This window comes from Homo sapiens, chromosome 8 (assembly GCF_000001405.40).
Source record: "Homo sapiens chromosome 8, GRCh38.p14 Primary Assembly".
NCBI lineage: Eukaryota > Metazoa > Chordata > Mammalia > Primates > Hominidae > Homo > Homo sapiens.
The window spans coordinates 37,575,258-37,589,760 of record NC_000008.11 but is presented as its reverse complement, the minus strand read 5'-3'; the positions used below and the strand labels follow the sequence as shown (position 1 = coordinate 37,589,760).

Sequence of the window (14,503 nt, the reverse complement as noted above, 5' to 3'; positions counted from 1 at the left end):
CAGGGCTCTGTGTGCACTGGTTATCCCATTCTTTTGCAACCTTGTAAAATTAATTTAATAGGTAGTACATCCAAGTGGTTTAAAAAGCAAAAGGTATAAAGAAATATGCAGTGAAGATGAAAATTGCTCTCAGTTCTGACCCCTCACTATTGTGCTCCTCCTTCTCAGAGGCAGCTGTTGTCATTGGTTTCTGGGGCATTCTTTCCAAGGGCGTTGTACACCCAGCATCTAATGATGCTACCTCTTCTTCCTCTTTCTTGTTTTAACCCAAAAGGAGGAATTGGGAGTTGATGATAGCCATAGAGTGGAAGGCAGCAGCTGGAGGGAGGAAGCTGGATGTATCTGAGCATCTACTACGTGCCAGGCCCAGATGAAATCTTATCAGTTCTAGCGAAATTTGGAGAAAGATTCACTGTCTTAGAATTTGAAAACATCAGTGCTGGAGGGGAAGGTGGAAGCCATCTGGCTAATCTTCATTTACTGATATGGAAGTGACTAGTCCAAAGTCCCAGAGCTTTCTGATTTTTGCTTCTTCTTGCTAGGAAAGCAATTATCCTATAATAATCCTTCTTTACAGGTAAAAATATTTTATGGTGCACCTGCCTCCCTTGCCAGTGGAATGACAGTCTCCATAGACCTGTGGGCCATCTGGGCCCTGGGCCAGCCTCCTTGTCTCACACTAGCTTGTTGGGGACCTGCCCTTGCTGGCACCCATCATTCCAGCTCCCTCCTGTTGTAACTCCTGCCCCAAATCCCAGGACTTGTCGCTGCCAGCTTTTTCCCCTGTTGTTCCTTGTCTTCCCACCCTTCTCAGGACTCAGGTCACCAGGATAGGTGGACATCCAATTCCTGCTGGAGTGCCAGCAGGAGAGATTTGGGGAACTCTTCCAGGTAAAGGGGGTTTTACCTGCTAAGGGTTGACTTGTGTCTCCCCCACAAATTCAAATAGTGAAGTCCTAAACCTGCCAGTACTTCAGAATGTAATTATCTTTGTAGATAGGGTCTTTAATGGGGTAATTAAATTAAAGTGAGGTCACTAGGGTGGGGCCTAATCCAATATGACTGGTGTCCTTATAAGAAGAGGAAATTAGGACACAGACAGGCACAGAGCGATGACCATGTGAAGACACAGGGAAGAGATGGCCACCTACCACCAAGCCATGGTCACCTACCATCCAAGCCATGGTCACCTATCACCAAGCCACAGTCATCTACCATCCAAGCCACCGTCACCTACCATCCAAGCCATGGCCACCTACCTGCCAAGCCATGGCCACCTACCCGCCAAGCCATGGTCACCTACCCACCAAGTCATGGTCGCCTACCATCCAAGGAGCGAGGCCTGGAACAGATCCTTCCCCAGAGCCCTCAGTAGGAGCCAACCCTGCTGACACCTTGATCTCAGACTTCAAGCCTCCAGAACTGTGGGACAATCCTTCACTGTCATTTAATCCACCCAGCATGTGGTCTCTTGTCACAGTTGCATTAGCCAGTGAACCTACCCGGGCCCTTCTGCAGTCACCTGGCTCAGGAGTGGTTCTGGTCAGGAAGTTCTGAGGCCAGGCAGGATCGGGACACTCCCTGGAAAGACCCGAGGGAGATATTTGGGAAACAAGAGGGCTGGTGTGGCTTCTCAACATGCCCACCATAAATCCTGCGCCATCCCAGGGCCGATGGGACCTGCTGTGTGTGCGGTAAACTGAATGCCAGGAAGCCAGGCTCTGTCGATCCCTGGTTCTGACTGTTGTGGGATCTTGAGCAAATCCCCTCGCCTCTCTGGGTCTCAGTTTCCTGATTTGTGGGATGGAGAAAAGGATTAACTGTCCCACTTACCTTGAGGCTGTGGTGTGGATTAAATGATTAAAATGCATAAGTGCAATTGCAAAAATATAGAACCAGCCCATCAATCAATGAGTGTATAAAGAAACTGTTGTGTATATAATATATATAATGGAATACTACTCAGTCATAAAAAGGAATGAATTAATGGCATTCGCAGCAACCACGATGAGATTGAAGACTACTATTCTCTTTTTTTGCTTTGTTTTTGAGATGGAGTCTTCCTCTGTCACCCAGGCTGGAGTGCAGTGGCACGATCTTGGCTCACTCCAACCTCCGCCTCCCAGGTTCAAGTGATTTAAGATTGGAGACTATTATTCTAAGTGAAGTAACTCAGGAATGGAAAAGCAAACATCATATGTTCTCACTCATAAGTGGAGCTAAGCTGTGAGGATGTAAAGGCATAAGAATGATACAATGGACTTTGGGGACTCAGGGGGAAAGGGTGGGAAAAGGGTGAGGGATAAAAAGCTACAAATTGGGTTCAGCGTACACTGCTTGGGTGATGGGTGCACCAAAATCTCACAAATCCCCACTAAAGAACTTACTCATGTAACCAAATACCACCTGTTCCCCCCAAATCTATGGAAATTAAAAAAAATTAAATAAAGTGTGCAAGTGCTGGCGAGGCCCCGAAGGAGCCCCACATTGGTGATGGCAACGCAGGTGACAGCACTTTCTCTCCCCAGTGGGGCTGGTGGTGCCCATTCCTGGCTGCCCCACTCTGAGTCTGAGGAGGAACCAAGGCTTTCCTGGAAATGCAGGGGCTGCCATCGGCCTGTGGGCTTAGGGTCCCAAACAGGGAGAGCCCATTGTTTGTCATTTCTCCTCAGTAAGCAGAAAGCTCTAAGCCCTGAAGCCTCCGGTAAACGTCAGAACATTTGGACATCTGAGTCCATTGTCTCCAGGTCTCATAATTTTCCTACATTAAAAATCCAATAATGCATTTTGTGGAAAATTTAGAAAGTACAGATAAACAAGAGAATAAAAAACATGAATTTTACCACTGTCAAAGCTGAAGGTCTATCCTTCTAGCCTCTTCTTTAAATGTGTGTATTTTCAGAAAAATGAAACCCTGTTGCACATAATACTTTATAAGTTTTTTTTTTTTGACAAGGTCTCATTCTGTTGTCCAGGCTAGAATACAGTGTTATGATCATAGCTCACGGCAGCTTCAAACTCCTGGCCTCAAGTGATCCCACCTCAGCCTCCCAAATTGCTGGGATTCCAGGTATGAGCCACTGCACCCAGCCTATAGCTTCTTTTTTTTCATTTTTTTATTTTTTGAGACAGAGTCTCACTCTGTCTCGCCCAGGCTGGAGTGCAGTGGCATGATCTCGGCTCACTGCAGCCTCCCCTTCCCAGGTTCAAGTGATTCTCCTGTCTCAGCCTCCCGAGTAGCTGGGACTACAGGCGTGTGCCACCACACCCGGCTAATTTTGTATTTTTAGTAGAGATGAGGTTTCACCATGTTGGCCAGGCTTGTCTTGAACTCCTGACCTCAAGTGATCCGCGTGCCTCAGCCTCCCAAGGTGCTTGGATTACAAGCATGAGCCACTGCGCCTGGCCCCTATAACCTATTTTTAAGTCAATGATGTATCACAAACATTTTCCCATGTTGACCTTCATCCCCACCACCACTTTTTAGTTAGGAATAACCAAAAATTTCAGATGAACAGTTCTAGAGACCACTAAATGTGAGGAATAGAAGGGTCCTGAACACGGCTTCTCCTCTCTGCCCAGCGTTACTTCTCAGGTGTGTGTCTCACCGGGGGCAGGTAAAGTTCTGGGAGAATCCTGAATTTACGGTCAGATAGGCTAGGAGTCCAACTTCAGCTCTGCCATTGACAAGCTGTAAGTGGGAAGGGAAAGGGCTGGGGCAAACTGCTTCTCTTTCCCAGCCCCCACCAAGGATTAATGGCTTATTGTAAGTAAAAGAATTTTCTAGCCCTGGCACAGTGGCTCGCGCCCGTAATGACAATGCTTTGGGAGGCTAAGGCGGGAGGATTCCTTGTAACCAGGGCTTTGAGACTAGCCTGGGTAATGTAGTAAGAACCTATCTCTATTAAAAAAAACATTAGCTGGGTGTGGTGGTGCACGCCTCTAAGTCCCACCTACTTGGGAGGCTTAGGTGGGAGGATCGTTTGAGCCCAGGAGTTTGAGGCTGCAGTGAGCTATGATTGTGCCACTGCAATTCAGCCTGGGTGACAAAGAGAGACCCTGTTTCTAAAAATAAATAAATAAATAAATAATAAAAAGAGCTTCGTAAACTGGCAGCTACAATTAATACAAGCTCATGGATGAACAAAGGACATTTTGTTGGTTTTGCAAGGGAAAAAAATCCTATTTCTGGAGGGTCACGAGGCACCATGAATGAATGAGAGTTGGGCCTGTAGGGAGGAGGAGAATTTGAAAGAAAGAAACATCATATTTGAGTTTGGAGAAAGAATTTGGATTCTGAGAACAGATTCCTTGGTAGATGAAGGAGTGAGTAAGCTCAGTTTGGAGGAAGGGAAGAAAAAGGTTGATTTTAAGGAAGCCAGTAACAAACAGTAATAGTGATGAGGAGGATGAGAGCTCACTCACAGGGTTTATTTACCATGTATCGGACACTGTTCTAAGCACTTCAAAAATATGAACTTGCTGGTCCACAAAACAATCCTACAAAGCAAATACAATTTTTTTTATTCCATTTATTCCAATTGTTTCCAATTATTTCCAATTTATTCCAATTATTTCCATTTTTTTATTTTTTAAAATTAATTACTTTTTCTAGGGATAGGGCCTTGCATCACTCCCTGGGCTGGAGTGTAGTGGTATGATCATAGCTCACTCCAGCCTCCAAGTCCTGAGCTCAGGCGATCCTCCTGCCCCAGTCTCCTAAGTAGCTGGGACCACAGGGTTGTGCCACCACACCTGGATAATATTTTATTTTTTGTAGAGACCAGGTCTTGTTATGTTGCCCAGGCTGGTCTTGAACTCCTGATCTCAATTGATCCTGCCACCCTGGCCTCCTAAAGTATTGGGATAGTATGAGTGTGAGTCACTGTGCCCAGTCTATCCCTTTTTTTTTTTTAGATGAGAACACCGAGGCACAGAAAGATGAAGGAATTTGTTAAGTGGAGCAGCCAGGGTCTGAGCCCAGGGCCGTGCGTTCCCCTGGACTGTACACATACCACACACACCTGGACCAGGGAGGCAGGGCCGGAGAGTGAGAACCCCCTAGACAGATTGAATTTGAAGATGTGAATGTTGCATCTATTTGTTGTTGCCTATTTGGAGACAATGGGTGGGGAGTAGTTTCTTTCTTTGCTTCCCTGGCACTCAGCGAGAGCCTTCAGAAGGCATTTGGATTTGTGACAACTTGGGAAGTGCAGGGGTGAGGAGTTGGGAAGAGATGATGGTGTCCTGGCCATTCTTTTTCCAGAGCTCCAGGGTGGTGGCCTGAGGGAGGGAGCTGTCTGCTTCCCTTGAGGCCGATGACCTGTGCCATTCTTGACCATCCCCTCACCAAGAGGAACTGAGACTGGTGAGAACTGCCCCCATGGCTTGAGATGGATCCTGGGACCCAAAGTGGGGCCCTATGGTGGGTGTGGGCTGTGGTCGGTGTCTCTCGGTTCACACAAGAATCACACACAGCTTCCCCTTCCCCTCCTTCCTCTTCAGTCTTCCCTCTTCCCTCCCATCCACTCTTTCTCCCCAGTGTGGCCTGGTGGAGGCGGTGATAGAGGGAGTGGGCAAAGGAAGGAGAGAGTCTGATGCTACTTTCTGGGAGTGGGTGATGAGGGACCCCCGTGGGTTACCCTTAGGTCCTAGAGAAGTTTGGGGGAAAATTTTGTGTTCCTTTTGTCCGTGTGGGGAAGAAATAGGAGAACCAGTATCATGGGGCCTGCCCTGCCTGCTGCTGTCAAAACCTGCTGACAAGTAGACGACCTGCTCCTGCTGTTACGGTCAGGGTCCTGAGACTATCCCTGGACCCTGAGAACCCATGGAGAAACCTAAATCAGATGCTAGTCTCCTCCAGTCCACTCTGCCCGGCTTGGGGCTGGCTGGCTGTGGATAACTGGGAAAGCAGCCACAAAACAGGAGGTTCTGGAAGCTTCCTGATGGGCTGGCTGGAGGGAGACCTGAGTGTGGCAAAGGTAGCAGAGGGGTCGAGGGGTTGGCAGGGTGCATTGCTGATTTAATCAAAAATGTGCTGGGTGCCGAGGACTGACGTCACCACATCACACTCCAGTCCCCACACCCCACTGGCTCAAGGTGCCATACAGCAGGTGAATGGACAAATGGTCATCCCATCAGCCAAGTACCCAGCCAGAGGTCCTGGGAGGGCGCTGGAGGCACTGGAGGAAGTTGAATGGGCTCCGCACAGAGGGATCCTTACTGACAGGCAATTACTATGCAGACAACTCTGTCTCTTCCCCACAGATGGTCCTTTTTCTTGGGTGTGGGTGTACACATACACACACACTCACACACATACACACACACAAAACTCACATACTTTGTGGTTTGACGTATATCTCTTTTTAAAAATTAGTGAGTAATATATGGAATCTAAAAAAGTTGAACTCATACAGTTGGGAGTAGAATGGTGTTTACCAGAGGCCTGGGAGTGTGGGTCGGGGGGAGAGATGGTTGGGGAAAGGGGATGTTGGCAAATGGGGGCAGAGTTTCAGTGACGTAGGAAGAATATGTCCTGGTGATCTGTTGCAGAGTAAAGTGACTGTAGCTAATAATAATGTATTGTACATTTCAAAATAGCTAAAAGAATTTTACATGTGCTAACCACAGAGAAATTATAAATATTTGAGGTGATGGATATGCTAAGTACCCTAATTTGATCATTCCACAATGAATACATGTATTGAAACAACACACTCTACCCCATAAATATATACAGTAAAATTATTATTTGTCAATTACAAATAAAACTTTTAAAAAAGAAAAATATTAGTTGGGAAAATTTTAAACATACACAAAACTAGAGGGAAGAGCTTAGTGACTCTCCTTGTGCCGTACCCATCTCCCAGCGTCTACAGTGATCAGCATTTTGCCGATTTTGTTTCATCCGTCTCCGCAGTATATTCTAACAACCAGCCACAATTCTCTGCGTTTCATCAGTGCTTTAAGAATGCCTCTCTCTCTCCATCCTTACAGCAATACTGGTGGGTCAAGCAGAGTAGTTATTATTATCGTCATTTTTTGAAGAGAAGACCAAGTCTCTGAGGTTCAGGAACTCTTTCAGGGTCACACAGCACCTAGAGTCTCTGATGCCTAATCTGACCCTGTCATTGGCTCATTTCTTTCTCTATCTCTCTTTTTTTTTTTTTTTTTTGAGATGGAGTCTCGCTCTGTCACCCAGGCTGGAGTGCAGTGGTGCGTTCTCGGCTCACTGCAACCTCCACCTCCCTGATTCAAGCAATTCTCCTTCCTCAGCCTCCTGAGCAGCTGGGATTACAGGCGCCCATCACCACACCCAGCTAGATTTTGTATTTTTAGTAGAGACGGGGTTTCATCATGTTGGCCAGGCTGGTCTCGAACTCCTGACCTCAGGTGATCCACCCGCCTTGGCTTCTCAAATTTTGGGATTACAGGCATGAGCCACTGCTCCCGGCATCACTGGCTCATTTCAACTGCATTTTTGGATGCAGGCAGGGTGTGTGTGTGTGTGTGTGTGTGTGTGTGTGTATGTAGGGGGAGCACCTCAGCTGGGGGTCCCTGGAACTCTCAGCCTTCCTTTTGTCCCTTTGCTAGTTGCCCTGCTGGTTGGAGGGGCCGGGGGCAGAAGCAGGCAAATGAATCTCTCCTAAGTTTTTCATTGATGGCTTCCTTGAATTGTGGCTGCAGGATGTTTATAAAACTCTGAATCAATTTGAGGTGCAGAGATTTTCAATCAGGGAAGCAGATTGCACTGATAGGGTCAAAAGGCCTGTCGCCAGCGAGGATCACAGCATCTGACATATTAATTTGAGCTGTCAGAATCGATATGTGTAACGGAGACGTGGAGGCACAGGCGCTGTTTCTGAAAAGGAGTGGGAAAAGAAAAATAAGGGGGGTGGGATCCCACCCTACTAGGGACTAACCTTTTGCAGATCCTGTAGAAGCAATCCCGCCAGCGTGGGGCCAGTGTGCCCGTGGTTCCTGGGGAGGCGGGAGGGGGTGAGAGGACTGGAGCCTTCTCTGTGGGGATGCTGGTCACGGCACAGCATCCCCGCAGAGACAGTGGCCCTGTCACCTCCCCCATCCCCGCCACAAGTAAACTTTACCTGGCTTTTCACAAACACCCACTCTCTGTCTCTTTCCTTGCCCCATTTGAGTTTCAAAGCCCTCTGTCTGTCAAAGAAGGCAGATCTGAGCCCTGGCAGGAAGTGCATTTGTTACTGAGAACCCTTTGGTATTTTGCATATGAAACGTCGACACTGGAGTCAGGCTTCTGGGAGGAAGTCACCGTGGAGTCCTCCTCACCCAGGGGAGCACAGGACACATGGGGTCTGTGTGGGTGCTGGGGGCACAGAAGGAACATGGTGCTCCTAGGAGCTGCCCATCTTGTGGGTTCAACATGGAAAAGAGTGTGAGCCCGGGAAGGCCCAGTCGTACCCATGCTTCTTATACCGAGGAATCGTGACAACATGTGAACACACGTCACATCGTGGCCAAGACACAGCAGAGGCTCCCGGGATGTTGGTTGCATTCCTGGGAGCCCCTGGGTGCCCCTGGGTCCTGATTGTGTTGGTGATCTCTCATGTAAAGAAAATTTTTTTTCCACACAATGGAATAAAATTATGCTTATAAAATTAGGCACAGGGTTAGCATTTATGGAGATAGAACCATCCAAGGTGAGCCATGTCCTTATAGTCACATTTGAGCAAATGGAGACAGAAATCTGAATACTTTGCAAACTGCCAAGGTCCCACAGTGTATTAGTCTGTTCTCATGCTGCTAATTAAGACATACCTGAGACTGATTAACTTATAAATGGAAAGAAGTTTAATGGACTCACAGCTCCACATGGCTGGGAGGCCTCACAATCATGGCAGAAGGTGAATTAGGAGCAAAGGGAGGTCTTACATGGCAGCAGGCAAGAGAGCGTGTGCAAATGAGCTCCTCTTTATAAAACCATCAGATCTCGTGCGACTTGTTCACTATCACGAGAACAGCACCGGAAAGACGTGACCCCATGATTCAATTACCTTGCACCGGGTCCCTCCCACGACACATGGGAATTATGTGAGCTACAACTCAAAATGAGATTTGGGTGGGGACATAGCCAAACCATATCACACAGAGGTGGGAGGGGGTTCAGACTCTTGTTAGGCGAGATTCCTGCCTTGCTTCATCTCTGTAGTGCCTGGGCCTTGCACATGGAGGATGGAGGGTTTTCTGGGCAGTGGCATGGAAGGGCCTCCCTTGGGGACACAGAACCTAACCTCTTATCTCTGTTTCCAGGCTGGTCTCCGTCTTACCATCTGCCCTGCATTACTTTTCCAGGGCTTCCTGTGTGATGACCACGTCTTCTTCCTGCCAGACACTCTCTGCCCCATCTTAAAACTGGTTTAGAACCTTGTTTTAATGATTCAAGCTTTTTCCCTTTCCAAACATTTTGTTATGTGCAAGGAATGCAGATTGTTAAAGGAAATAGCTTCTGAAAAAAAATCTCGCCTGAGTTGTGTGGAAGAACTATGGATGCCCTTGCTTTGAGCAGAGACTTGCAATTTTGAAGAGAAAGTAAATAGGGAGGTGTTGGGGGAGGTGGTCCTCAGCCCCCAGCTTCTCCCTGTCCCATCTCTGGGTGCGGGATCTGTCTCGCTGGCTGGAGGAGGTCTGAGCAGTGATGTGGCGACTGCTGCTTTGTCTCCTCTGGCAGCTTCCTGATCTATTATAAAGGACAGCTTTTCAACCACTTTCTCTCTTTGGGTGGAAAAAGATGGGTGAGATTTACAAGAACAGTTATATATATTTTTTCCTGATCATTATTCTCCTCCACCTGCCACACGCAGGTCAAAATAAATCATGGAGAGAGGGATGGATGGAGAGAGAGAGAAAAGGGTAGGAAGGGAGAAAGGGGTGAGAGAGAGAGATTTGCAGGAATACTCATTGGGGTAATAGCTAAAGCATGAGAGACTTCGACTTCTTCTTATTCTTCCTTTTTTTTTAAGAGAGAGAGAGAGACAGGGTCTTACTACTCTGTCACTCAGGTTGGAGTGCAGTGGTATGATCATAGCTCACTGCAGTCTCAAACTCCTGGGCCCAAGCAATTCTCCCATCTCAGCCTCCCAACTAGCTGGGACTACAGGTGTGAGCTACGATGCCCAGCTATCTACTTTATTTTTTGTAGAAACAGTGTCTTGCTATGTTCCCCAGGCTGGTCTCAAATTCTTGGTCCCAAGGGATCCTCCCACCTCAGCCTCCCAAAGTGTTGGGATTACAGGTGTGAGCCACTGCACCTGGCTAAGAGTTTTCTTCTTGGTGATGAAAATTTTCTGAAATCGCCTGTGTGTTTGTTTGTTTTTTTTTTTTTGAGATGGAGTTTTGCTCTTGTTGCCCAGGCTGGAGTGCAATGGCATGATCTTGGCTGACTGCAACTTCTACCTCCCAGGTTCAAGTGACTCTTCTGCCTCAACCTCCCGAGTAGCTGGGATTACAGGCGCATGCCACCACATCTGGCTAATTTTTGTATTTTTAGTAGAGACGGGGGTTTCAGCCATGTTGGCCAGACTGGTCTTGAACTCCTGACCTCAGGTGATCTGCCTGCCTCAGCCTCCCAAAGTGCTGGGATTAGAGGCATGAGCCACCATGCCCGGCCTAAAATTGCCTGTTCTAATGGTCGCACATATCTGTAAATATATACTTTAAATGGGTGAATTGGTGTGGTATATGACTTATATCTCAATAAAGCTGGCAAAGAAAAAAGGATACATCTGCACCAGGGCCTGGCCTTGGACTTGAACTTGGAAGGGTGTGAGTGCTCAATCTCCACCAGCCTCCGTCCCTGGAATGGGGTCGCCTACAGAATCTAGAAGGCACCAAAGAGGCTTGTAAAGGATCTCCATCTCTGAACCAAACCCAGCACCTAACAAGTGGAGGGGCCTAAAGTTAAGTTGGCTCTGTGCTGAGATGTCTGTGGGACGTTGCTGCTGAGAGGTATATTAGCAATTGCAAGGTCCAAACCCTCATTTCTCAGATGCAAACTGAGGCCCAGAAAGGGGAATGACTGGTCCACAGTCACAGCTAGTTGGAGTCACATCTGGGTCCAGAAACCCATCTTCTGATGCTCATGTCCTTCCTTTCCTTCTACAAGGAGGACTAAGATACGTGCTGGGGACTTATAAGTTAATAGCCAGTCCTTATGGAGTGTGCAACATGGTGGGGGCCAATGAGGGGTGGCTGGTCATCACATCACAGTTTGAGGAGTTTTGAAAGGGAGAGTGGAGAGGGGGTAGACAGACCTTGGGCAGACCTTGGGGTTGGGGTGGGGGTGCACAGCATGCCAGGGAGGTTGGTTGTGTGTGTGTGGTTTTTGGGGGTGGGGGGGCAAGGAAGGCTCCCCAGAGGAAAGGACTTTTCATCTGTGATCTGACTGTGGACTACCAAATCAGGTAAAAAGCTTGAGGCCAGGGGTGGCAGGGAGAGAGTGCCCCTCCTTGGCAGAGGGTCCAGGGGAGGGGTAAGTTGGGAGATTCGCAGCACTCAGAAGATGTTTTGCTTGGCTGAGGAAGACTCCATTTGGGGAATGAGCAGAAAATGTGGAGCACTGAAAGGGAAGAGGTCTGTTTTAGATACTGCATGACCTTCTACACCTCTGTAAGGTGTTTGGACTTGATCTTGAACTTAATGGAGAGACTTTGATGGGTTTTCTGCATGTTTTTCTAACATCTAGATGCTAAGGGAACTCTCCTCTGGTCCACTGGCCAGGAAGCCCTTGGGTCAGCTTTGTAACAGCTGTTTTTATTGAGCATTTACTGAGTGTCTGGCTCTGGTCTAAAGTGAGTATTTAACATAGAGGAGCTCATTTAATCTCCATTACAACCCTATAAAGCATCTACCATTATTACTCACATTTTACAGATGTTAATAGCTAACAGTTTTTCACTAACTATGTGCCAGGTATTGTGTTAAGGACTTTACGGATATCAACTAACTTATGCCTCATAAAAACCCTGTAGAGCAGGCACTATTATTATCTTCCTGTTATAAACTAGGAGACTGAGGCACAAGGAAGATAAAAAGCTCACCCAAAGTCACACTGGCCATTCGCAGAGCTGGGATTCACACCCAGCAGATTTGACTCCAGAGCCACTCCAAACCCCTGCACCAATGGCTGGGGCTACAATGCTGCCTGTCACAGGGGCCACCTGCTTCCATCTCTCTCAGCCCCATTAAAGAAGGGAGCCAAAAGAAAAATGCAAAATTTAGAGGAAAATGAAATAATTCTCCCTTACTGTTAAGTTTCTTTCTTTCTTCAAAACAAAGAAGCAAACAGCCCTCCCAAACCCAAGGTTGTAACCTCCTTGTCCAGAATAGAGGGTAAAAGGCAATGGGCAAGAAGCTAGAACAACATGCAGTCCCAGGATGGGAGTCGGGGCATGGGTGGCAGGTGGGCTATGAAAAGCAGGTTGCACTTCTGGTGGGAAAGCATGGTTGGCAGAGGTCTTAAGCAGCCCCAGTGACATTCATCTCCTGGCATTACTCTTGTGATCATGCTTTGGTGCACGGCAAGAGAGTTTGCAGAAGTAATTAGGGTTACCCTTAAGATTACCTTAAAACTGGGAGATTATCTTGGTGGGCCCCACCGAAACTTGTCAGCCCCTGCAAAGCAGAATGCTTTCTCCAGATGGTGCCAAAAAAGGACATCAGAGATGTCTGAAGTTCGAGAAGGGTTTCGTGTGAGGTGGGGTTCTCTGTTGCTGAGGTGGAGGGAGCCATGGGGCCAGGACCTGAAAGCTCAAGGCTTTTAAGAGCGGAGAGCAGTCCCTGCCCAACAGCCAGGAAGGAAACAGGGACTTCAGTCCTACAAGGAACAAAATTCTGCCAATAATGGGACTGAGCTTGGAAGAGGATCTCAAGCTCCAGTGAGAATGCAGCCAGTTGATACCTTGGTTTCAGGCTTGGAAAGCCCAGAGCAGGGAACCCAGCTACACCATTCTAGACTTCTGACCTACAGAACTTTGAGATAATAAATGGGTACTGTTTTAAGTTGCTAAGTGCATAGTGATTTGCTCTGCATAGAAAACCAATGCAGATTTTGTTACCTGGAAGTGGGGGGTGCTGCTACAACAAACCCCAAAATGTGGGTGCAGCTTTGGAATTGGGCAGTGAAAGAATTTTGAGAAGATGATAGAAAAAGCATACATTACTTTGGCTAGGCTGTTAGAAACATGACGTTCATTGGCTCAGAAGGAAGTGAGGAGCATTTGAGAGAAATCCTAAGTCACCTTGGAAAAAGCCTAAATCACTGGGAACAGACTGTTAGCCAAAATCTGGTGACGAGGAAGATGTTATTAAAAGTATTGGAACAGAGGTTGCCAAATGGTGATTTTCTAATTTTATCATTTCTTCTGCACTTAGAGTTGGAATTCTATACAGAAGTGCTTTCCAAACTAAAAATAGAACTACCATTTGATCCAGTAATCCCACTACTGGGTATCTACCCAAAGGGAAAGCAATTATTATATCATAAAGATACCTGCACTTGTATGTCTGTTGCAGCACTATTCACAATAGCAAAGTCATGGAATCCACTTATATGTCCATCAGTGGATGATTGGATCACATAATGTGGTATATATAAAATGGAATACTACTCAGCCATGAAAAAGCATGAAATCATGTCTTTTGCAGCAACATGGACAGAAGTGGAGGCCATTATCCTCAGTGAAATAACTCAGAAACAGAAAGTCAAATACTACCTATTCTCACTTATAAGTGGGAGCTGAACAATGTGTATACATGAACATATAGAGAATAATAATAGAAACTGGAAACTCCAAAAGGTGAGAGGTGGGTGAGGGTTGAAAATTACCTATTGGGTATGATGTTCCCTGTTTGGGTGATGAGTACACTGCAAGCCCAGGCACCATCACTATGCAATATATGCATGTAAGAAATCTGCACTTGTACCCCTAAATCTTTAAAAATAAATAAAAAAAGAAGTGGGGTGAGAGGAGGGCGAAAGATGTTACTGGAAAGAGGTTTCAATCCAGACCCCAAGAGGGTTCTTGGATCTCGCACAAGAAAGAATTTGAGGTGAATCCATAAAGTGAAAGCAAGTTTATTAAGGAAGAAAAGAAAGGAAAAGAATGGCTACTCTGTAGGCAGAGCAGCCCCGAGGGCTGCTGGTTGCCCAGTTTTATAGTTGTTTCTTGATTATATGCTAAACGAGGGGTGGATTATTCATGAGTTTTCTGGGAAAGGGGTGGGCAATTCCCAGAACTGAGGGTTCCTTCCCTTTTTAGACCACATAGGGTAACTCTCTGATGTTGCCATGGCATCTGTACATTGCTATGACCCTGGTGGGAGTGTCTCTTAGCATGCAAATGCATTATGATTAACACATAATGAGCAGTGAGGCTGACCACACTCTTGTCGCCATCTTGCTTTTGGTGGGTTTTGCCCGGCTTCTTTACTGCAACCTGTTTTTATCAGCAGGGTCTTTATGACCTGT

The 14,503-nt window shown here is 46.9% G+C and overlaps 2 long non-coding RNA genes across 4 annotated transcripts in view, besides 2 other annotated features; one reads left to right on the top strand and one right to left on the bottom strand.

The window, feature by feature from the left end:
• Positions 1–14,503, top strand: part of LINC01605 (long intergenic non-protein coding RNA 1605) — a 196,324-nt gene that overhangs the window by 10,079 nt on the left and 171,742 nt on the right. The gene's annotated exons all lie outside the window — the stretch shown is intronic.
• On the bottom strand, positions 4,902–8,195 carry LOC105379378 (uncharacterized). The gene is made up of 3 exons (XR_949681.3): positions 8,109–8,195; positions 7,926–7,983; positions 4,902–7,004 (listed from the first exon to the last, which is right to left on the bottom strand). It is a non-coding gene; the product is annotated as an uncharacterized LOC105379378 (long non-coding RNA).
• Positions 7,497–8,096: an enhancer, noted in NCBI's record as "H3K4me1 hESC enhancer chr8:37439183-37439782 (GRCh37/hg19 assembly coordinates)". NCBI's record gives its function as "activates a minimal SCP1, AML or CMV promoter by ChIP-STARR-seq in primed H9 embryonic stem cells {active_cell/tissue: H9 hESC(primed)}" and the evidence as "EXISTENCE:reporter gene assay evidence [ECO:0000049][PMID:30033119]".
• Positions 8,097–8,696: an enhancer, noted in NCBI's record as "H3K4me1 hESC enhancer chr8:37438583-37439182 (GRCh37/hg19 assembly coordinates)". NCBI's record gives its function as "activates a minimal SCP1, AML or CMV promoter by ChIP-STARR-seq in primed H9 embryonic stem cells {active_cell/tissue: H9 hESC(primed)}" and the evidence as "EXISTENCE:reporter gene assay evidence [ECO:0000049][PMID:30033119]".